The sequence below is a fragment of the Homo sapiens genome, chromosome 2 (assembly GCF_000001405.40).
Source record: "Homo sapiens chromosome 2, GRCh38.p14 Primary Assembly".
NCBI classification, from domain to species: Eukaryota; Metazoa; Chordata; class Mammalia; order Primates; family Hominidae; genus Homo; species Homo sapiens.
This window is the reverse complement of record NC_000002.12, coordinates 237347974-237370763: the sequence shown is the minus strand read 5'-3', so window position 1 is coordinate 237370763 and position 22790 is coordinate 237347974. Positions and strand designations below refer to the sequence as shown.

General features: G+C 46.4%; 1 protein-coding gene across 3 annotated transcripts in view, besides 2 other annotated features; it reads left to right on the top strand.

Moving 5' to 3' along the window:
* The window catches only part of COL6A3 (collagen type VI alpha 3 chain), a 90147-nt gene that overhangs the window by 43401 nt on the left and 23956 nt on the right, over positions 1-22790 (top strand). For all 3 annotated transcript variants that reach the window (NM_057166.5, NM_057167.4, NM_004369.4), the window contains 21 exons: positions 1587-2201; positions 3478-4077; positions 4729-5066; positions 6336-6414; positions 7366-7511; positions 8933-9025; positions 9590-9643; positions 10605-10676; positions 11376-11402; positions 11514-11558; positions 11676-11729; positions 12181-12243; positions 12882-12947; positions 13373-13426; positions 15830-15865; positions 17361-17423; positions 18180-18242; positions 19572-19634; positions 20555-20617; positions 22101-22151; positions 22380-22415. In NM_057166.5, coding sequence (NP_476507.3) covers positions 1587-2201; positions 3478-4077; positions 4729-5066; positions 6336-6414; positions 7366-7511; positions 8933-9025; positions 9590-9643; positions 10605-10676; positions 11376-11402; positions 11514-11558; positions 11676-11729; positions 12181-12243; positions 12882-12947; positions 13373-13426; positions 15830-15865; positions 17361-17423; positions 18180-18242; positions 19572-19634; positions 20555-20617; positions 22101-22151; positions 22380-22415 — 2681 coding nt within the window. The remainder of the gene's footprint in view (positions 1-1586; positions 2202-3477; positions 4078-4728; positions 5067-6335; positions 6415-7365; positions 7512-8932; positions 9026-9589; positions 9644-10604; positions 10677-11375; positions 11403-11513; positions 11559-11675; positions 11730-12180; positions 12244-12881; positions 12948-13372; positions 13427-15829; positions 15866-17360; positions 17424-18179; positions 18243-19571; positions 19635-20554; positions 20618-22100; positions 22152-22379; positions 22416-22790) is intronic.
* Positions 3421-3920: an enhancer, noted in NCBI's record as "H3K4me1 hESC enhancer chr2:238275487-238275986 (GRCh37/hg19 assembly coordinates)". NCBI's record gives its function as "activates a minimal SCP1, AML or CMV promoter by ChIP-STARR-seq in naive H9 embryonic stem cells {active_cell/tissue: H9 hESC(naive)}" and the evidence as "EXISTENCE:reporter gene assay evidence [ECO:0000049][PMID:30033119]".
* Positions 11244-11538: a silencer, noted in NCBI's record as "tiled region #1020; HepG2 Repressive non-DNase unmatched - State 21:Repr, and K562 Repressive non-DNase unmatched - State 22:ReprW". NCBI's record gives its function as "represses a minimal TATA promoter and a strong SV40 promoter by Sharpr-MPRA in HepG2 and K562 cells {active_cell/tissue: HepG2 | K562}" and the evidence as "EXISTENCE:reporter gene assay evidence [ECO:0000049][PMID:27701403]".

Genomic DNA, 22790 nt, shown 5'->3' with positions numbered 1-22790 from the left:
TCTTAAACAGCTCCATCACAAGAGCTGCTCAGCTTCCACTATGCTGCATTTACACCGTAAATTGCCCAATTGTGTATGAGGCAAAGGGCAGGTTGAAATGTGTGGAGTAGCAACATACAAGTTTAATAAAATAGCATCTGAGGAGTACCTAAAATTCTAACTAATAGGAAAATGTGGCTCATCTTTCTCAGGATCTTTTGATTAATTTTATTGTTAAAAATGCACTAGGCTGGGCGTGGTGGCTCACGCCTGTAATCCCAGCACTTTGGGAGGCCGAGGTGGGCTGATCATGAGGCCAGGAGTTCGAGACCAGCCTGGTCAATATGGTGAAACCCCATCTCTACTCAAAATACAAAAATTAGCTGGGTGTGGTGGCACACACCTGTAGTCCCAGCTACTCGGGAGGCTGAGGCAGATGAATCACTTGAACCTGGGAGGCAGAGGTTGCAGTGAGCCGAGATTGCGCCACTGCACTCCAGCCTGGGCGACAGAGCAAGACTCCATCTAAAAAAAAAAAAAAAAATTAAACCAGTTATTTAATAGAATTAAATATTTTTAAAAATGCGCTAATGTAAAGAAAATGAGTCAGGGTGGGTGGGGGAAGCTGGGCATGGCGGCTCATGCCTATAATTCTAGCACTTTGGGAGGCTGAGGCAGGAGGATCACTTGGGCCCAGGAGTTCAAGACCAGCCTGGGCAACACAGTGAGACCCTCATCCAAAAAATTAAAAAAAAAAATTTTAATGAAATTTAAAAAATAAAGGCACAGGCATGGTGGTTCATGTCTGTAGTTCCAGCTACTTGGAGGATAAGGAGGGAGGATTGCTTGAGCCTGGGAGGTCAAGGCTGCAGTGAGCTGTGACTGTGCAACTGCACTCCAGCCTGGGAGATAGAAAGAGACCATGTCTCAGAAAAAAAAAAAAGAAAGAAAAGGAAATAGAGGAATAATAGTGAAAAATAAAAACTTCATATAAATGCTAGAGATGTGTGAGCAAAAAGGAAATACGAGGGCACAAATGCCTGGGGAGCATTAATGTGACCCCTTGGATATGGCACTGTGTTATACGTACCCTGCCCCCATGGGCTGAGATTGCGCAGCATGCTGGGATGGTGTTGGGCTCCTCAGGGGTCTCACTTGCTAAGTGATGGCCTTGGACAAGGCGAGAACCTTTGGCCTCAGCTGTTTCTCTTCTTGTACAACAAAGATATAGATCCCAGTGGCCTTGGTCTCTTCTGGTAGCAACAGTTCATGATTCTGTAGATTACGGTAGCCCAAGATTGATTTCTAAATGCTCCTTACATTTTAGAAATCAGTAGTAACCCAGACCACAATGCCAAAATTTAAATAGAGTAAATTCAGAAAGACACGTTTTGGATAACTTCAAATATTTCAAGGAGCAGAAATTGTTTTGGTGTAAAAGGTCCAATTTTTAACGGCTAATTTCAAAAAGCCCGAGATACAAACAACACAGGCATCTTGGGATATAATCTTAAGGTTGATTAGGATTATGGTGCAAGGTGCACACCAAACCTGGGTGAGGGCTACTTACACACTGAATGTTTCCCTTTTTCTTCTTTGATCTGCAGCAGTTGAGAGTGATGCTGCAGACATTGTCTTTCTGATCGACAGCTCTGAGGGAGTTAGGCCAGATGGCTTTGCACATATTCGAGATTTTGTTAGCAGGATTGTTCGAAGACTCAACATCGGCCCCAGTAAAGTGAGAGTTGGGGTCGTGCAGTTCAGCAATGATGTCTTCCCAGAATTCTATCTGAAAACCTACAGATCCCAGGCCCCGGTGCTGGACGCCATACGGCGCCTGAGGCTCAGAGGGGGGTCCCCACTGAACACTGGCAAGGCTCTCGAATTTGTGGCAAGAAACCTCTTTGTTAAGTCTGCGGGGAGTCGCATAGAAGACGGGGTGCCCCAACACCTGGTCCTGGTCCTGGGTGGAAAATCCCAGGACGATGTGTCCAGGTTCGCCCAGGTGATCCGTTCCTCGGGCATTGTGAGTTTAGGGGTAGGAGACCGGAACATCGACAGAACAGAGCTGCAGACCATCACCAATGACCCCAGACTGGTCTTCACAGTGCGAGAGTTCAGAGAGCTTCCCAACATAGAAGAAAGAATCATGAACTCGTTTGGACCCTCCGCAGCCACTCCTGCACCTCCAGGGGTGGACACCCCTCCTCCTTCACGGCCAGGTATGCACCGTGTGACCCATGACTACAGAGTGTGACATCAACATTTTTTTTTTAGTTAAAAAAGTAATCAGTAGTCATTTTTAATAATTTTCTTCTCTCTGGGTTGTTTCTTCAGATAATATTAGAAATTAAATACTGGAAAAGTAGTTCCATTGAAATTGCAGAAGGAAGCATATTATTGATCTTCCATCACTCCTGAGACTAATCATAGCCCCATTGAAAGGTTCTGCAGTGTTGCACTGAGATAATTACAAACTCATTGGCTCTCAGAATAGGATGGCATCTTTGAAATCAGCCAGTCCATGCCCCACTGAATGTGACTTTGAAGTTGGCCCATGCCTACTGGCCAGATGCCCAATATAGTCCAGGTCCCCTCATTCCTTGGCCTGGTGGGACCATCAGGGAGCACCTTCCTGGAAGACTTGCAGTCGTCCACCTCAGCTTCTACCCCGTGCTCCTGGTTCTCGTCTTTGGGGCTGCAAAAGCAAAGTGGATCTCTCCACCAGCCCATATTTTTCTTTGTCCCTCCTCCAAGTAATCGCCATGTAGACATCTGAAGCAAACCATTAGGGTTGGTTCTTCAAAGGGGAGCAGTATGCCTGTTTCCCTAGCTCACTGCTCCCTACCAGGCTGCCTGTGGCACATCTCACATCCCTCACACTGTCTCTCATCCTTTCTCCTCTCTATTCCAGTCTCAGTTGCTTAATTATAATCAAGAAATTACCCTCCACACCACTGATATTCAGCCAGCTCCTACAAAGCTCTCAGACCATCATCCAAAGGTTAAGGGGCCTCTTCCTATTTTCCAATCTGTTTCTCCTAGTCCTTCCTTGCTTTGCACCTCACACACATCTCTTCACTTCCAGGAACTATTTAAAATTCTTGACCACAAAGGAAACTTCTAGTGGCATTTCCTAAAACACTTGAGATCACAAATGTCAAAGCCAGGTCCCTATTGAATTCTTGTCACAATGCCATTTTGCACGGGATAACTGAAGTTCTCTGTCACTGAGTTTTCACAGAGTGTGACATCAAATAATTTTTCTCCTTTCCTTTTTGTTTAGAGGATTTATCATTCATCTTCTTGTATTTAGCATGTTTGGGAGCTGCAAATTCAGGAACTACAGGCTAAAGAGGCATGGATTTGAGTGAAGGTTTCACTGTGAATAAATTATTAGGAATGTCTTATTTCAGTTATTTAATTTTACCTTTTGTGTATTTATGTTCTGGGTCTGGAAACCTAATCTCTCCTTATTTTCACTTTAATCACTTCTAGAGAAGAAGAAAGCAGACATTGTGTTCCTGTTGGATGGTTCCATCAACTTCAGGAGGGACAGTTTCCAGGAAGTGCTTCGTTTTGTGTCTGAAATAGTGGACACAGTTTATGAAGATGGCGACTCCATCCAAGTGGGGCTTGTCCAGTACAACTCTGACCCCACTGACGAATTCTTCCTGAAGGACTTCTCTACCAAGAGGCAGATTATTGACGCCATCAACAAAGTGGTCTACAAAGGGGGAAGACACGCCAACACTAAGGTGGGCCTTGAGCACCTGCGGGTAAACCACTTTGTGCCTGAGGCAGGCAGCCGCCTGGACCAGCGGGTCCCTCAGATTGCCTTTGTGATCACGGGAGGAAAGTCGGTGGAAGATGCACAGGATGTGAGCCTGGCCCTCACCCAGAGGGGGGTCAAAGTGTTTGCTGTTGGAGTGAGGAATATCGACTCGGAGGAGGTTGGAAAGATAGCGTCCAACAGCGCCACAGCGTTCCGCGTGGGCAACGTCCAGGAGCTGTCCGAACTGAGCGAGCAAGTTTTGGAAACTTTGCATGATGCGATGCATGAAACCCTTTGCCCTGGTGTAACTGATGCTGCCAAAGGTAACTCCCATTATGTGCATATTTTCCATCCTTTCCTGTTGACATTTGTGCCTCTTTAGCTGTCTGGTCCCTGGTGCTGACCTCTGGAGTCCTTAGGCATTTGGTTGCTTCATACATTTACTTATACCCACTGGGACTGGTCCTGACACCCACCTCACCACTACCTAGGGCGTTCTTCCAAGACAAGAGTAGAAGTCTATCATATTTTGCTTTTATAAGATTTACTTTTCTCCCCTATTCCTTAATCCCTCAAACAATTCAGATTTATTGATTCCTGTGTCTAATTATAGATTTATTAGATCAAGTATTTGAGATCAGAATATTTGATTTTCAAGTGCTTTTAATTTAAAGCACAAACTTGGGGTGCATCTAAACACCAGTGGTGTATCATCACACCAAAGTTAATTAACACCACCAACAAAGCTGACTTTTTAAAATAGCTTACTATTTGGCACCTAACAGCTACCCTCATTTCTCTCTGTGAGAGGGGTGGATAGAATTGCTTCTCAAAGCTCACACACACAGGATCTCATTTTGCACTTGAGTGCGATGCCCTGGTCCTCTGCCTGGGTTGTCCCTACTGCTGGTATAAGTAGAGTTCGTCTCCTCAGCCCCAGCTGAGAACTCATCACCTGCATTTCTCCTTTCCAGCTTGTAATCTGGATGTGATTCTGGGGTTTGATGGTTCTAGAGACCAGAATGTTTTTGTGGCCCAGAAGGGCTTCGAGTCCAAGGTGGACGCCATCTTGAACAGAATCAGCCAGATGCACAGGGTCAGCTGCAGCGGTGGCCGCTCGCCCACCGTGCGTGTGTCAGTGGTGGCCAACACGCCCTCGGGCCCGGTGGAGGCCTTTGACTTTGACGAGTACCAGCCAGAGATGCTCGAGAAGTTCCGGAACATGCGCAGCCAGCACCCCTACGTCCTCACGGAGGACACCCTGAAGGTCTACCTGAACAAGTTCAGACAGTCCTCGCCGGACAGCGTGAAGGTCTGTGGGGCCAGTTGGTTCAGGTGCTCCCTGGGAAATTTCCAAATTTTTACTGGAAAGGAGGAAGCCCTTCCCCCAAGTTAAATCCTCTTCATGTTTCACTGGATTGTTAGTGTCTATATGGAAAATCCCTTAGTTATTAACTGATCTAATGTCATGTACTGTCTTCCTCATTTTGGTAGTCTTACGTAAGCTCTAAAAGAATCCTGGAAATCAGTAGTTTAACTTGAATGAGTTGAATTTGTGATTGATTTATGTTTAATTATAGTCCAGTCAGGTACGTTCTCCACTTTCATTTCTCTGTGTGTATGTGTGCATGCATGCATGTGTGTATATACATGCATATATATTGTGTAGACACACACACCATGTGAGTTTGCTAGGGATCATCATGAAGTACTACAGCCTGGCGGGCTTTTGGAACAGACATTTATTTTCTCACAGTCTTGGAGGCTTGACATCCTCGAGGTGTCGGCAGGGCTGTTTCTCCTGAGTCTTCTCTGCTTGGCTTGTAGGCAGGGGTCTTCTCCCTGTGTCTCCACATGGCTTTCTCTCTGTGCATGTCTGTGTCCAAATCTCCTCTTCTAAAAGGACATCAGTCATACTAGATTAAGGTTCACTCTAAAGATCTCATTAACCTTAATTACCTCTTTAAAGACCCTATCTCCAAATACAGTCCCATTCTTACGGTACTGGGGTTTAGGACTTAACATACAAATTTTGAGGGGACACAATTTAGCCCATAACACATGCACACATGCACACACGCACACACACCCACAGACATGCACCCACACACATGCACGCACATGCACCCATACACATGCACACACATACGCACCCACACACATGTACACCCACACACCCACACATGCACACACACGTGCACACACATGCACACACAATGCACCCATACACACACATATGTACCCACACACATGCACACACATGCACGCACACATGCATGCACACATATGCATATGATTCGCAGAAACTACATCTTAGAAATATGAGAATGAGATAAAAATTGTTTTTATTGTCATTGCTGCTTGTCTTTTTTAAAATAAATTAAGCACTCAAATATACTCCTCCATTTTAAGTGCAATATCAAAGTCTTGTGAACATGGGTAATCATTCCTCAACTTGGGCCCTCAGTTTCCTTAAGTGTAAAATGAAGGGCTTGAGACAGCGAGTCTCTCAGTTTTCTATCAGCAGTCTGCAACACTCCTTTTTAGTTTTCCTGGGATTTGACAGCTCTCTTATCTGCAGGTGGTCATTCATTTTACTGATGGAGCAGACGGAGATCTGGCTGATTTACACAGAGCATCTGAGAACCTCCGCCAAGAAGGTAGGTGCCAAGGCTTTCTAAATATGAGAAGTAAACCCTGGTGAGGCGGGGTGTACTGCTCTGCTGGAGAGAAACCTCTCTGCTAATGCAGCGCCCCAAGGGAGCAGCGTTGTCTTGGGAGACTCTTCCTCCCAGCGTTGTGGCCCTTCATCACCTGCTTGGAGCTGTGGGATGGAGCTAACAAAAATTCCTTCTGTACTTAGACAGCTTTACTGTTGTGTTGTGGCTGTTCAGGTGGTAGAATGTTCAGAAAGCATGATGCTTTTGCAAAAGATCATGACGTATTGATTCATTTAACTTCATCACATAAACTAGGAATTAGTTACTAATAAAAATACATTGCTCTATTTTTGGTTTGCAGTTATCACAGTTCAACATTTAATAACACTACACCCAAATAATACAAAGAAAATAATGTAAGCAATGACGTACCAAACATAAGGTGACAGCCATGCCTATTATCAGATGTGATCTTTGACTATTCACTTGCTTTGGCGTTTGGTAGCACTGACTATCAGAAAGTGGATGCCATTACAGAAGTGTAATTTATCCTAAGAACTTTCTATTTATTAGCTTACTTTTCCCAAGCAATGGAGATGAGGCTGCTATTATCTGATTTTGGAGGTGTTAGTATTTCAATACTTCCCACAGCATACTCGTGTTACAGAGGGCCTGAGTTTGAGAACTCATGCATGAATACACTTCATGGATGCCACTTCCTATATTTTTAGTAATAGGTTTAGTTATTGACATACCGGAAACAATTATTCAGCAGAGTCCAAAGTTTGAGTATTTCAACAATTCAGAGTAGCCAGTAAACTTGATTAAATATATTTAAGTTAAAAGCTAAATTTTACACTGAAGTTTTCTTTAAAAATGTAGTCAGGAAAAAAGGACATTGCATTTTCCACATGCCTAGGTGAGCTGTATTAAATGTGTCTTTCTTTGCAGGAGTCCGTGCCTTGATCCTGGTGGGCCTTGAACGAGTGGTCAACTTGGAGCGGCTAATGCATCTGGAGTTTGGGCGAGGGTTTATGTATGACAGGCCCCTGAGGCTTAACTTGCTGGACTTGGATTATGAACTAGCGGAGCAGCTTGTGAGTTTTTTTTATGTCTTTATACACAGACCAGTGTAGATACCACACCTTTTGGCATTTCAAGAGAATGAAGTTAATTATCAGCAGGTGAATGGAGGTGGGGGGGGGGCCTTGGTAGATAGTTAAATTTATTTAATTCACTTGGGAACTGCCTTGTTGCCATAACACATGTGAATCTGGAAATGGAGATAGCAAATCGCTGGAAATCCAGCGAGCTGGAAGGGGATCCTGGGCGCGCTGAGGTTGTGGCCTTAGCATTTTCTCTGCTCCCTTAGCAACGGCCTCTTTTAACACCATTGCAGGGATGCAAACCATCGAGATTGTCCATCCTCCAATTGGAAACTGTGTCAAGAGCATCTGAAATCTTGCATGATAAAAACAACATGCAGGAAAAGAAAGGCTGTTTCTGGGTGGAGAAGTGCTTTAATTGCCCTCCCTAGTTTCCCTCTGTGTCAATGAAGCTCCCTCTGAGGCTTCCTCATTCTCCCCAGGGCCAGCCTCTCTCAGCTGGAGGTGTGACCTCCTGGGTTTAGACTGGGGATGGAGCTTTTGGAAGATGTGGGGCTGAGCTGCGAACTCAGAGATTCTTTGATGGTAGCAACAGTGGACTGTGGCTATGAGAATGGGAGGAATGGACCTTCCTTTCTTCCATACTTCTTTGCAGGGTTAGAATCAGGATTTTTTTCCTAGTGGAAGTAGGTTGAGTTAGCTCACAAATCTGGGATATGGGAGAAAGGGAAAGCTCTTGGAAGCTCGTTGGAAGAAAGTGCATGTGCCCACCATTAGTTTAGCAGATGGAAATGTATTTGGGCATGCCCTTTCCCACATAAGGTCAGGGGCCAGATGGGATGAGAATGTAGAGGGTGTCTGTGTGACCTGGAGTTGAGAAGCTTTTGGCTCCGAGGCCAGGACCACTTGTGCCTGCTCCCACCATGGCTGCTCTGGAAGCCTCTTTCTGGGCTGGTACCATATCCCATGACTCTCACCCTGGTTCCAAGGAAGGGTGGTCATGGATATCTGTTCTGGAACCACCTTCAGTCTTGGCCATCTGCCATTTGCTTGGCTTTGCACTTTGGAACTGGAACATATGTAAGTTATAGTTAAGATCTGATGATGGAAACTTCTAGAAATAAGGTCCAGCCTGCAGTGATATTGTGGATAAGATCTATTTTACTTTGGTTGTTCTTTACTTTCCTATTGGTGACCTCCCATCTGCACCCCGACCGCCAGGAGCTGGGCCCTCCTGACTTCGCTGGCAATTTCTATCATATCGTCAGTCGTCCAGCAAATGTCACCTGGAGGGACTTCATCTCACACCGTGAAACCCCCACACATCCGATTTTGACCCTTAAAGCGCATTTATGATTTTCTGCTGGGCATTTCTTGAGATCTGAACATTTGGTTTCTCTTCCTTTCGGTAGGACAACATTGCCGAGAAAGCTTGCTGTGGGGTTCCCTGCAAGTGCTCTGGGCAGAGGGGAGACCGCGGGCCCATCGGCAGCATCGGGCCAAAGGTACGGTGGCTTTACCCTTGCCCACGCCTGAGATGAGGTGTCAGAAGCCCGACATTACTTTGGTGGGGTAATTTCTCTAACAGAAGAGTGTGGAGATGAAGGAGGAGACGAGAGACCATTTCTTATGTTAGAAGGAGGAGCTCTGAGGGGCAGACCTGCGTGCTGTTCTGCTGGGGCCTGTTCCAGTGAAGATGGTTCAGGCGGGACCCTCCTTTTGCACAGGATAAGGGGATCTGTGCTTTAACAGCTTGGTCCTTCATTTCATAAAATAATGTTAAAGGCAGCTGGCGTCCCTGACAGCAGCCTGGCTGCGAATGGCAGCTGGAACTCATAGCATTTGCTCTGAGTCAGTAGGAACTAACAGGCTTTCTTGGCAGAGCAGGAGCCTTAGAGATCCTGATAGAGAGAATCGTGACATGGTGTACTGAGGGGAAAAGCAGTAACAGGGAAAGCCATGCTGAGTTTTAGTGCTGCTCTGCCAAATGAAGGGGGACCACAGGGATTCTTACTGTAGAGCAAAGAAGACCACGGGATTAAACAGAGGACCCGATTACTTTGTTTCAGGGTATTCCTGGAGAAGACGGCTACCGAGGCTATCCTGGTGATGAGGGTGGACCCGTAAGTAAAAATTGTTTTAGTCCCTAAAATTTCACCCCCTCCTTGATCCTTACCCATTGGGATTGCATTGTGGATTTCATCATTTGTTCAGTTGCTGATGGCTTTCCCTTTGGGAGAAAAATTAATTTATACTTTTCTTAACAACTTTGCCTGGATGTCTAAGTACGATAATTGAAGTATGACAAATGTGGGCATGAAGGGTGGGATTTGTTCTTACTCTGTTTCAGAAGGAGGGATTAATTGGTTTCTGAGCCAGAGGGACACCGAATTTGCACACCCAGTATCTACTAGATTAAGACATGCAAGTAGAGATGGGAGTGAGCTGAGGGGCAGGGACACAGCAGGAGACCTCACCAGGGCTTTAGGGGTTACCCCGTTAAGGGTAGTCCCTGGAGGGGATGTTGCTGGATCAGATCATCAGTATCCGAGGGTCTTGGGGATGGACAGACCCCAGTAGCAGGGTCCATGGGAGCAATGCCCAAGACAGACACCTGTCTGGGGAGCTTTGGGACCCTAGATCAAGGTCCAGCCCTGGGATAGGGGACAGAGGGGCTCACGAGGAACAGTGTGGTCACCAGGGCCCAGCCGGCAGGGCTCGGCTAGAGAACTGGGAATCAAGCATCACTTGGAGGAGCTGTCAGCCCGGTGGGTCTTCCCGGGATTCAGCACCCACAGAGACACAGTGCTGGGGGCCACCCACCCTTGCCCCACAGGGCAGTGCTGTCTGCGCTGCTACCCTCCCAGATCTCATTCCCTTCAGGGAAACTGCAGGTTCCAGGCCAGGCCTCATGCAGGGGCCCAAGAGGCTCCCTGGCTCACGTAGCCTCGATCGGCGTTCCCCATGGTGAAATCTGCTTTCTGCTGCATGCTGTTCACAGTACCCTTTACGCTGCTGCAAGCCCGGCAGAGAAAGGGTGATGAAGGGCTCCAGCTTGCAAAATGCCTTTGTCTCTCACAACAGGGTGAGCGTGGTCCGCCTGGTGTGAACGGCACTCAAGGTTTCCAGGGCTGCCCGGGCCAGAGAGGAGTAAAGGTGAGGCGTGGGTGATGGGGTTGCTAGCGTGGGGAGGGGTCAGGTGACTCGCAGTTTCTCCAGATGCTGCCAGGGAGGGAGGCGCTGGTCCAGGCTTCTTGACCTCAGCATTCAGCAGCCCGTGACCTCTCATTGGAAGGCAGTTCTGAGCAGGGTGGGTTCAGGAGCAGGGGCTGCAGCTGGTGGGGAGCCTGAGAATGGAGAAATAGTTTCCTGTGGAAACATGAAGAAGCCAGGAAACCCTCACAAGGAGAGAACATGGGCCAGGGCGGAGGGTAGGCTGGTGCCCACGGCCCCGGCCCTGGACCGTGGGAGCAGTCAGGGAAGGGAGTGGAGTGAGAGGACAGCAGGTGGGTTGAAGGCTGGTGAACTTGCTTCTCTGTTTGCTGAAGTTTGAAGGCAGGTGCTGAAGGGAAGGGCTGCAAAGTTACAAAGTCAGCTCCTTGCCCTGGGTTTTGGGGTCCACCCCCGCCGGCCCAGGGAGCCAAGACCACCCAAGCATTCAGTTCTAGTTTTAGTTTTAAAACATCGCACGTGGTGGTGAGAGAGGAATCCAAAGGGGTAGGACTCTAATATTACATTTTCAGACACTGCAACATTCAAATGGGGTGGAGTGGGGGAACAGCCCTTGGCCTCTTCTGCCCGAGGGACCAGCCCTGCAGGAAAAGCTAATGCTTCCCCTATCGCCTTGCCTTCTAGGGCTCTCGGGGATTCCCAGGAGAGAAGGTATGCAAGCTTGGTTTTGTTTTACAAATGGAAAACTCTCCCAGTATTTCTCATTTCTTCCTTTGCCAGAATAGCTTTCTATACTTACCTGTCCGCCTTATTCCCTCTTAGGGCGAAGTAGGAGAAATTGGACTGGATGGTCTGGATGGTGAAGATGTAAGTGATTTTACTCTAAGTCCAAACTGCTTTTGGTTCTGAAGATTCCAGAAACTAACAACTCAGTCTGTGATAGAAATTGCAGCAGGTGTGACCTTTAATCCTTGTCTTTGGCAGGGAGACAAAGGATTGCCTGGTTCTTCTGGAGAGAAAGGGAATCCTGGAAGAAGGGTAGGTGTATTTCCACGGTGGTGCTATTATGGAAAGAATATCAACATTTCATTTAGGGAATAGTTATTTTCTTTCCTCATATACATCAAGCCCGCTTCCTCCAGGCAGCCTTCCCTGACCTCCCCTGTGAGTGCACCCATTACATCCCCTCTCAGCTCTGACACATTACAGTACATTTTCTTGTTTCGAGATCACATCCCATAGGGCAGGGACTGAGTTTGTTTTGTTATAAATAAATCTCCAGTGCCTGGCACAAAGTGGGTCCCCAATAAATATTCATGGATTTACTAAACGAATGAAAAATATGTGGAAGTGAATTTGCCTTCATGGTGAATGAGTAAATTGTAAACATTGTTCTAGTTAAGATTTATGAGTTGAAGAATGTGATTTTTAGGGTGAGATAAAAATGGAAACATCTAGTTTTTAGCATCCACTTGTGCTTTTTCTTTAGGGTGATAAAGGACCTCGAGGAGAGAAAGGAGAAAGAGGAGATGTTGGGATTCGAGGGGACCCGGTAAAGATTTCTTTATTGACGATTTCAGACCTGAGCCTGGGGAAGAGGGTTGTTGGGAAAGGGGGATGAAAGGAAGAATTCTACTTTTGAAATTGCTTTAAAACACGTTGATAAAATATGTGCTTTGTCTTTTTCTTGCAGTTTGGGGGTTTGGGGAGATGTGTTGGTTCTCTTGCTAACCAGATAATCATTTGCAAGTCCTGTTATACAAATATCTGAGAAGTTTCCAAAAATGTGGTATCAGGGCACTTCAAATTTGCTTTTGGAAAAGAGAAGAGTTTGCAGCTTTTCTCATTTTGTGTCTCTGTAAAACGTTTAAGCAAATGAGCAGTACAAGCTAGCCTCTTCTTCCAGTCCATCCTGCCTCTGTGGCCAAGGATAAGCAGGAGTGAGCCTGGGGCATCCTCCTCCCTGGGGAAGAACGATTGCACCTGTTTGGGGCTAAGAGTGCTTTGCTGATCCCGTGATTGGGTTTCGTAAGACCTGCATGGATGTTACCTGGATGGGTTGTGGCCGAAGGGCTTGTCCCTCGAAGCCTTGCATGCAGGTCCTTGCTAATATTTCCCTGACCATCCAGTCCAGTGGCAGCTGCTTTCCTTCCATATGTGGCTCATTTCCCTTTCCCATGTTGCTTTCAGGGTAACCCAGGACAAGACAGCCAGGAGAGAGGACCCAAAGGAGAAACCGGTGACCTCGGCCCCATGGTAAGGTGCTGCACATTCCTAGACTCTCCCTGTACTGAGGGCAAGAGAAAGGACACACTTCTCGGCTCATCAGCAGCCACAGAGGCCAAAGACGTGGCCTTTAACACTGCAACGTAGCCTAAGATTAGCAGCAGAGTCCCCGTGAAGGAAGTCTCCGTGGGGAACCAGAGTGACCCTTGCCAAGTGGGGCTTCTCAGCAGAATCTGTGCCTCTTAGATATTTACGGAAGGTGCTTGTTAAGCCAAAGGCTTGTAGAGGTGGGAGTGTACTGAAGTCCGGTGCATCCTGCAAAGTGTGCAACTGTCCTGCAGACGGGCTCTTCCTCTGTGAATCGACCCCTTTCCCTGCAATGTCTTGTGCAGCATTTCAGAGCTAGACATTCTTCTCTGCAGATGAGAATCTCATGCTAATTTTCCCCACACCAGGGTGTCCCAGGGAGAGATGGAGTACCTGGAGGACCTGGAGAAACTGGGAAGAATGTGAGTGCCATTAGGGCTTTGGGGGGCTCTGTGACAATTCTTAGTGCCATAAGATCTGCCCAACATGACCTGGTGCATGGTTAGTCCACAGCTCTGCAGTGAGTGAATGTAAAAGGATTTCTGAAACGGTTGTTACTCCAATCTATTTTCATTCTTATAATTTCCCTGGTGCTTCATCTCTTCTCTCTCCCCAATTCTTGCTCTCCCCAAAAACATACTGAACAGATACTTTTAAAAATAATATCTTTGCTACTTTCAAATATCGGGCCAGGTTTGATCCAACTAAATATTTAAGAGACCCAAATGGAAATCCTAATACTGGGGGAGGGAGGGAATAAGGGGCAAGAGGGCTGAGGGAGTTGTGGATTTGTTGTTTTTGTAATTATCTGTGGGTTTTTGGGGGGATGCTGTAAGTGAAATAAAAAAACTAGATTTCTTCTTTTTCTGGCGTATTGCATCTTGCAATTTCAAGACATTTCAGAAATGTCTGTAGCAGAATAGCTCCTTGTATGCCTAATCCTCAGTCTTGTTGAATAAATGCTAAAGTCAAAGTGATGTGAATGATCTTTCTGAAGCCAACCAAAAGCTTCCAAGGTCCTCGGGCACAGACAGCATCTGCCTTGTAGCTGGGAGAAGACCAGTGGTGTAGAAGTTTGTAACCTCTCAGAGGAAATTCAGGATGCTGGTGGGTGCCTAGGGGAGGTCTCTGCTCAGAAATGAACAGAGCACAAAGGCTGCAAGCTGGGGCTGGGTGCTGGGAACTGGGCCCTCAGCCACGCCCTGAGGGGCAGTGGCTCGTTCGGCCCGGCACTTGGGCCAGTAGAGTTCGCTGGGGTGAGGGGCTTTCAAAAGGAGCGACTCACCAAAATCAAATTGATGGACTATGGGCATCATTTTGCTTTGAAAATTCAGAAGAAAATAGAAATTTTGAAAATATCATTTTAAAATGTTTGAGCACTATTTATTTATTTATTTTTAATAAATTGTAAAGACCTGGATCAACTGCTTGGAAGTGAGCATTATTTTTGAATAATGCTATATAATGAAAAAGAAGCTATATAATGAAAAAGAAGAAATACTCATCAAATGTTACAATGGGCTATTACAACTCAGCGTGTGAGCAGAGCCAAAACTTGGTTTCATGAAATGACTTAAAATTGAGTAGTTCATACAATTAATTTCAATTCTACACACAAGGTAGAAACTGGATTTGAATTCGGTTTCAGTCACGGGCTCTTGAGGACTCAGTTCTTCCTTTTGTGGTCTAATGGCCTGCTATCCCTTCCCTTAGGACCACAGTGCCAGGCTCAGGCCAAGCTGAAATGTGTCCCTCCCACTGGGCTTCAGCATGCCTACATCCCCTTTCTAGAGTCTCCGCAGGCGGCCTCTGGCCTGAGCAATGTATCACTGAGTGCTGCTGGACTCTCATGGAACTCTAGCATGTCTCTTTTGGGAGGGGCCAGGCCAGATTGTTGGTTTGTAGAGGAGAACAGTGTCCCCTTGTCTCAAATTTTCCATGGAAGGTGGCCAAGATCTTCCGCTGAAGCAGGTGGCATTACAGCGAATAATGGCAAACTGGTCACCGCAGATCACTGGGCTGGTCCATTGGAAGTGGAGAGTGAGGTTCCTAGGTTGATGTAGCAGATGACTGAGCCCCACAACAGAGCTAGTCGGTCACAGCCTCTGCAACACCAACCCTAACTTTGCAAAGACCGCCTGGGACATTCATAAAGTCCCACCCCAAACCTTTCTACTGCTGAGGAAACAATTTTGAGGTGGAAATTAATGGATTACTTGTGAAGTAAGCCCACATGTTTGAACTAAAGGTCACCTCTGGAGCATCCAGGAAGATGTTGCCAAGTCGTGAGCCCTACCTAAGTACACGAGACGTTTAGGTGCACATGTGTGTGCTTCAGATATTTTACTTAACCGAGTGTGTGTTGTGTTTGGCCGGGATCACTTGGAGAACCTGGGACTCCCTTCCATTATAATTAATGTATTTCATGACTTCTCAGTACAGTTGGGAAGGTGGAAGAAAAATAGACAGGTTGACATTCCCTTTTCACATTCCTCATTTGAAACTGGCTGGGATCGTGCAGCCAAAAGGAGTCATTATTTTGCTTGGCAGGTCTGCAGTAATTCTCAAAACTTCCATTGGGTGATTAACAGGAGCAGCAAGGAAGCAAAACTTCACCCGGATGAGGGTGGAGGAAGGGTGTCTGTGTGTGCGAGTTTCCCCAGGGCTGATGAGGTGTGGTTTCTGGTTCTTGGCACGATGTGGGTGCTTGGGAAGATTCCCCTGAGTAACCGCAGAATAAGAGGGTGAAGTCTGAAAGAGCTCTAGGCCCCATGCCCAGCGTCCCATGCTCCCCCTCACAGTTTGTGGGACTTTTTCTTCCACAGGGTGGCTTTGGCCGAAGGGGACCCCCCGGAGCTAAGGTGAGCCTCATGCAGTGCCCCCTGGAGACTCTCTTCAAACAGCCCAGATGCCGCCCAGCCCAGGAGTGAAAAACACTCTCTCCTGTGAACCCAAAGCTTCGGAGACAGATACCAATCAATTTAGAAAGTTGATTTCGCCAAGGTTAAAGACATGCCCGTGACACAGCCTCAGAAGGCCCTGATGACACCTGCCCAAGGTGTTCGGGGCACAGCTTGGTTTTACACATTTTAGGGAGACATGAGACATCAATCAATATGTGTGAGATGTACATTGGTTCGGTCCAGAAAGGTGGGACAACTCGAGGCAGGGGAGGAGGCTTCCAGGTCATAGGTAGATAAGAGACAAAAGGTTGCATTCTTTTGAGTCTCTGATTAGCCTTTCACTGAATACACAGTTTACCAGAACAGTCACCTATGCCTTAGTTAGGCTTAGTGAAAAACAGGGCGAAGGAAGCAATTGGATATGCCTTTGTCTCCCATGAGCAGAGGGATGACTTTCAGTTCTGTCTGTCCTTTGTCCACAAGGAATTTCCCTGTGGGCAGAATGTGAGGGAGGTATTCAGCTTAAAAAAAAAAAAATCTGGCCAGGACGGTGGCTGATGCCTGTAATCCCAGCACTCTGGGAGGCTGAGACAGGCGGATCACCTGAGGTTGGGAGTTCGAGACTAGCCTGACCAATATGGAGAAACCCCGTCTCTACTAAAAATACAAAATAGCCAGGCGTGGTGGTGCATGCTTGTAAGCTTGTAATTCCAGCTACTCAGGAGCCTGAGGCAAGAGAATCACTTGAACCCGGGAGGCAGAGGTTGCAGTGAGCCAAGATCATGCCATTGCACTCCAGCCTGGGCAACTAGAGTGAAACTCCATCTCAAAAAAAAAAAAAAAAATTCTTTGTAGCTATCTTATTTAAGAATAGAATGGGAGGCAGCTCTGTCTGATGCAGTTCCCAGCTTGACTTTTCCCTTTGGCTTAGCGATTTTGGGGTTCTGAGATTTATTTTTCTTTCATCCTCCTTGGGCTGTTCTGGCTCCCGAGGCTCTGTCAGCCGTCTCCTTAAACAGCCTCTTCTGCAGAGTCTAGAGAAAATGGTGCCCAGTGGGGACTTGGGGTCCAAGTGCAGGAAACATGACTGAGGCAGTAGTGTCCCGGGCGGGCGCCTCTTCCAGAACGTGCTCACCTATCTGGCCATCAGCAACCCGCAACTTCCCGGTGTCTCGGTCCTCTGCTTTAGGTCTAAATGATCCCTGTTTCACAAAGCTGTCCGAGGAGAGGTGAGGCAAGAGTGAGGAACAATTGTAGAAGTGCAGGGAGACAGCTGGCTCCTGTGCTCAGTGTCTCACCTGGGGTTACCGCTTTGATCATCTGTTACCTCTGGAAGAGCTGAGTTTTCCCTGGTTGCTTTCCAAGTCCCTGGCCCAGAAATGACTGTAGAGCAAAGAGCTGACATTGACAGGAACCATCCTGACTCCTCCCTGCATCTTCTCTTATTTCAAAGGGCAACAAGGGCGGTCCTGGCCAGCCGGGCTTTGAGGGAGAGCAGGGGACCAGAGGTGCACAGGTGAGTGCTTCCGTGTGTGACTGTGTGCCCTCTGATATTTCACAAATCATTTAAAAAATGATTGGGTGGCATTTATATCCGGAAAGTTAACCATTTTAAAGTGAACAATCCAGTGGCATTTGGTACTTCCACAATGCTGTGCAATCATCACCTCTATCTAGGTTCAAAACACAGTCTCGAAGGAGACCTGTACCCATTAGCAGTCACTCCCCATCACCCTCCACCCCGAGTCCCTGGAAACCACTAATCTCTCTCTCTTTATGGATTTGCCCACTATGGATATTTTGTATAAATGGAATCATTTACTAGGCAGCTTTGTGTGTGTGGCTTGACGGAGCATCATGTTCTTGAGCTTCATCCACATTGCAGCATGTAGAAGCACTTCATTCCTTTACATGATGGAAGGATACTCTGTTGTGTGGCTACAGCACACTTTGTTTATCCACTCATTGGTTGATGGAGATTTAGGTTGTTGCCATCTTCTGGCAATTGTGAATGATGCTTCTGTGAAGATTCTCCTACACGTTTTTGTCTGAATGCTTGTTGCTTGTATACATTTTAAGCTCACTTGCCTATTCACGATCTGGATTGAGGCAGCTGCTACTGCAGCTAAGACAGGATAATTGTGGGTTTTGGTGGCCGTTTTTGGCCAGCAGAAGTGAGGTTCCAGGCCCTGTGGGATGGGCAGATGCCATGCAGAGGCTTCTCATGGAAAGTCACCTCATTAGCACTCACGATGGTCTTTTCCTTCCTCAGGGCCCAGCTGGTCCTGCTGGTCCTCCAGGGCTGATAGGAGAACAAGGCATTTCTGGACCTCGGGTAAGCCTGTCCTAATACCAGCCCCCTCTCTAGCTGAACAGAGGGCACATTGCCAAGCAGGCTGAGAGAGTTTCTCGGATGATGCTATTGTAGACAGACCTCCCTTTAGCTCTCCTCTTTGGCAACAAAAACCCCAGATTTAACCTCAGGCCTTGCAGTGACTGGCTACTTCACCCCAAGAAAGTAAGAGTTTCCTTTTTTGGTGCTCCATGGGCCTCTAAGTCTCAATTCTGCTCCTTCCAAGTGTCCCTGGGTGGAAATCAGGGGATATGCCTCAGGATGGAATCCTGGAAAATCTAAATCTACCAAAATGCTTAGATTCTGCAAGGTGTTTCCCCTTTGGTCCCTGGAGATAGCCCCTTGTGCTTATGTATTTTGTATAGTGAGTGCCTCAAGTTCACCCATGAGTTCAGCACAGAAGATGGCCCTTAAACTTGCTGTGACTGCAGATGTTATCTTGCAAAGCAGCTATCAGCAATGATGAGCAGAGACACACTGTCATTGCTGGGCTAGGATCAGGTGTCACGGAATTACGTATTCGGGTTTCCCTCATGGCTGAGATGATATTGAGGGAGGCATCCTATCATTTATTACCAAAAAATGACTAATAAACTGGTAACGAGCTCAATATGTTGCTACATAAATGTACAAAAATATTTTATGGTGGAAGCAGGCAAGAACTTGCTTAGAAAGTCCTTCTCTAGCTTGAAAGCTGATAAATACATATCTTTAGACGTTTTTAAAAAACATTTACTTAACTTGTAATTAATCAACAATTTAAGATGGTATAGATGCAAAGCTATTCAAATAGTTATCCAGTAGCTCCAGAAACATTTATTAATTTGCACTTTTTCACCATCTCTTTTATGTTATTTGTGGGTTGCGTAGACTGTACCACATTTTAAGAGTTAATTTCATCCATCAGTTTATTCATTCACCTAACAGGCTTTAACATGCCCATATGTACCAGGTGCTCACTGTGAGGGTGTGAAAAGGGAGGCAGAATAAAGTCACATAAAATCTGGGAGCTTGCCGTCCTGTCAGGAACCTAGGATATGTACATTAATAACTGCAACATGCATTAATTTGTGAAAACTGGCACTGAGAGGTAATACTCATGTTTTAAATTTGTGCATGCCATTTCTGTGCATGTTTATATTTGAGTCCGTAGCCCCGTGCTCAGAGCTGAGTGCTTGGGATTTGCAGGTGGGACAGGTTCCATGCCCCTGGCGGGCTCTGACTTCCATGCAGGGGAGAGTCAGGTTTCAGAGACCAATTTGCCTGGACGGTTGGCCACTTCACTGACACATTCCTCCCCTCCTGCTCCAGGGAAGCGGAGGTGCCGCTGGTGCTCCTGGAGAACGAGGCAGAACCGGTCCACTGGGAAGAAAGGTTTGTCTTTAGAAAGGTAGAGCTTTCCTGAGGACAGGGACCAGCCAGGCACACATGCCCCTCTCCCTCTTTGGTCAGTCTGTCTGTCCCTCCTCTTCAGTACTACTGGTTCCCACTCCAGCCTCCCCTGTTGATCGCGGCTTGGCCAGTGGAATCATTGTCCCCCAACAATCCCCACCATAATTCCCACCACCATCCCTGCCACCAACCATCTCTGCTCAGAGGGCTGGCTTTCTCCTGGCCACAGCCCTCCATCAGCTGCCAGGTTTTCTGCTCCTCTCTTGCTTGGCTTGTGCCAATAGTGCAGCACCCTCTGAGCCATCAGAGCAGCCGGGCAGTGCTTGGTACAGTTTCAGTATAATATGGAACGAGCAGTCTTTAAACATGGGCAGTGCACGCACAGTGGCTCAGCTAATCACATTTAGATCATCCAAGAGCCCCGACCCTGACTGTCCTGGATAACAGCAAGTCTGCTGTATGAAGGCTGCCTGAGAACCTCCTTTCTATCAGCTTTGAGATAAATTACAATTTGTCATAACCAGTCCGAAAAGACTGCATGTTCTCTGTAAAAGAAATGAGTTCCTGTGAATCCACGATGGTCTCTGCCTGGAGAGTGTTTTGGGGTTTTATGCTGGGCTCAATGCCCACCGCCTTCCGTGCCTTCTTCTCCCAGTTGTTACTCTCTCTTCTCATCAGCCCGTCCCCCATGCCACGCTGGTGAAAAGGACAAACAAAACCCTCCTGGATTCTTTTCCAGGAGTTTGCACATGAATGTTGCAATTTAGAAAATCATTCCACCGAAATCTCAAAGGTGAAGTCAGCATGTTGCAGCACCCTTACCTAGAGCAAAAGCATGGCTTGGCATCACACTGTAAGCCAGCCCCAGGCCACAGGGTCTCAGCCATGTTTCTCATGTCTAGGGTGAGCCCGGAGAGCCAGGACCAAAAGGAGGAATCGGGAACCGGGGCCCTCGTGGGGAGACGGTAAGGTCACAGCGCGCTTGGGGTCAGGCTGTCGCTGACTCTTTGCTGGAAGGTGCAGGAAGCCAGGAGAGGGTTCCAAATAAAGATGAGCCTTGCTTCTTGTATTATTGGGGATACGGCTGGAAATACTGAAACTTGCTCATCTGCGGCAAATTAATTTAACAAGTTTTATTTTATTGGCAGGGGTAGAGAGGTGGGGCGGGCCGTGGGGAGAGACATTTTTTCCCCTGTGTTTTTCCTGATACAAGAGAATGTAGAGGCTAATGAAGCTTAAACTACCTTCATCTTAGGTCCCGCAAATGCTTTGCAAGCATAACTAGATGAAGCTTTTCTGCAAAGAAGTAAATGTCATTTGGGTTAAAATGGAATTGGATTTGATTAGGTCTCAGTCCAGATGGAAACAATTTCTTTTGAATGAGACATCTTAGGAATAGAAATTATTACCTCAGTAACTCGTTTTTTAAATGCTATTTAAAAATGCCCCAAAAACTCACCAACAATAATTTTGTGATGTACATTTCTACGTTACAAAAGAATAAAGAAATCTACGGTCCATTGTGACTTTTTCCAAAAGGAGTCATGGCACCTAACACTGTATAAAAGGACCAGGTTGATCTGACTGTTTTAATTCCAAGCATCAAAATATTTTTCTGTCTTTCATTTTTGTCTTTTCAACTAACTGAAGTTTAAAAACGAATCTGTTTGTATTACTTTTAATCTCAGAAGCACAGGGAAAAAATCAGACTTCAAACCATTGAAGGAAATCTCTTCCTGATTCTGTTTCTAGTAATTTGGGTCAACAGATCTCTAGTTGTTGATATCTGTTGAAAACTGTAAATTAACTAAGTGGCAATTCCTACATATGTTAGAGATAGTAATGTACAATTCACACACGTTCTTCTGATTCTTCTGATTCATAATTAATGACGTCCAGTTCTGAATGCTCCTCATGAGAGAGCAACAGGAACAGATCTGAGCATGCTGGGGGGAGGTGTTGGAAAGGAGGGGGTCTAGGGGTGATGACTTGGAAGGAAGGGAAGGGATATGGGGAGGGGGAATATGACCTGGGCCTGAGAGATGGAGTTCAGTGTTTTGGTTTTGAAGTAGAATCAAAGACTTACGGATGCATAGAATCAAAGTAACCATCAAGATTCCTGTCAATTCTAAGATTCTTGGGGTTGACGAGTCTTTGATTCTACATCCAAACAGAATCTTTACCAAAAGCAACCAGCAGTTCTTTCTATGTTAGTCCGCCAGTGCCATTTTGCTACGGGAGTCCTTTGAGCCCACCGCCTACAGAAATGGTCTTGTTCACACTTGGAAGATAGGACAGGAGCAGGAAGTGTGCCTACTCCTGTACCTTAGTCTGCAAACATTTCAGGAGCTCAAGGATCCACTTCTCAGGGGCAGCGGCAGGGCAGAGACGGTGGTTATGGTGTGCCAGGCATGGCGACCTACAGTCACATCTCTTTCCCACTCTTAGGGAGATGACGGGAGAGACGGAGTTGGCAGTGAAGGACGCAGAGGCAAAAAAGTACGTATCTGCTGAGGATTATCCAAGCGTCCTTGCTGCCAGGAGGCTCCAAGGACAACTTCTGATGTGTTGTGTTTTAAAAGAATTATTTCTTTAAAAATTGTCTTTGTATTTGAGTGAGTGTTTTCGTTTGATGACTCAGCAGACATTTCTTTCTTTCAAGGTCAATTTATTTTAGATGAATTTAAATTAGAACCAAGTATTAAATAATCTATTTTTCCTTTATAGGGAGAAAGAGGATTCCCTGGATACCCAGGACCAAAGGTAAATAATCCCTGGTCGGTGAAGCATCATCATGATTTTGGGATGGCTCTGGTATGTCCATGGACTGAGAATCAGAATATCTTGGCATTAGTCTTGGGTCAGCCACTCAGTTAACTGGGCTACCCTGAGAAAGACCCTTCCTTCCCTAAAATACTCTCTCATCTGTCAAGTGGAGGTCATAATACGTACTTGTCCTGGTGTTTATGAGATTTAAATAAAATATGCTGCAATCAAAGTACTCTGTAAGCTGTGAAATGCTATAACCTACATGATAGTATCATTACTGATTAATTAAATTAAGACCATCTGCAAATACCACAAATATAGTAGTAACCCACTGGAAAAGTGAATCAAAACTAACCACTTGGCTGCCCG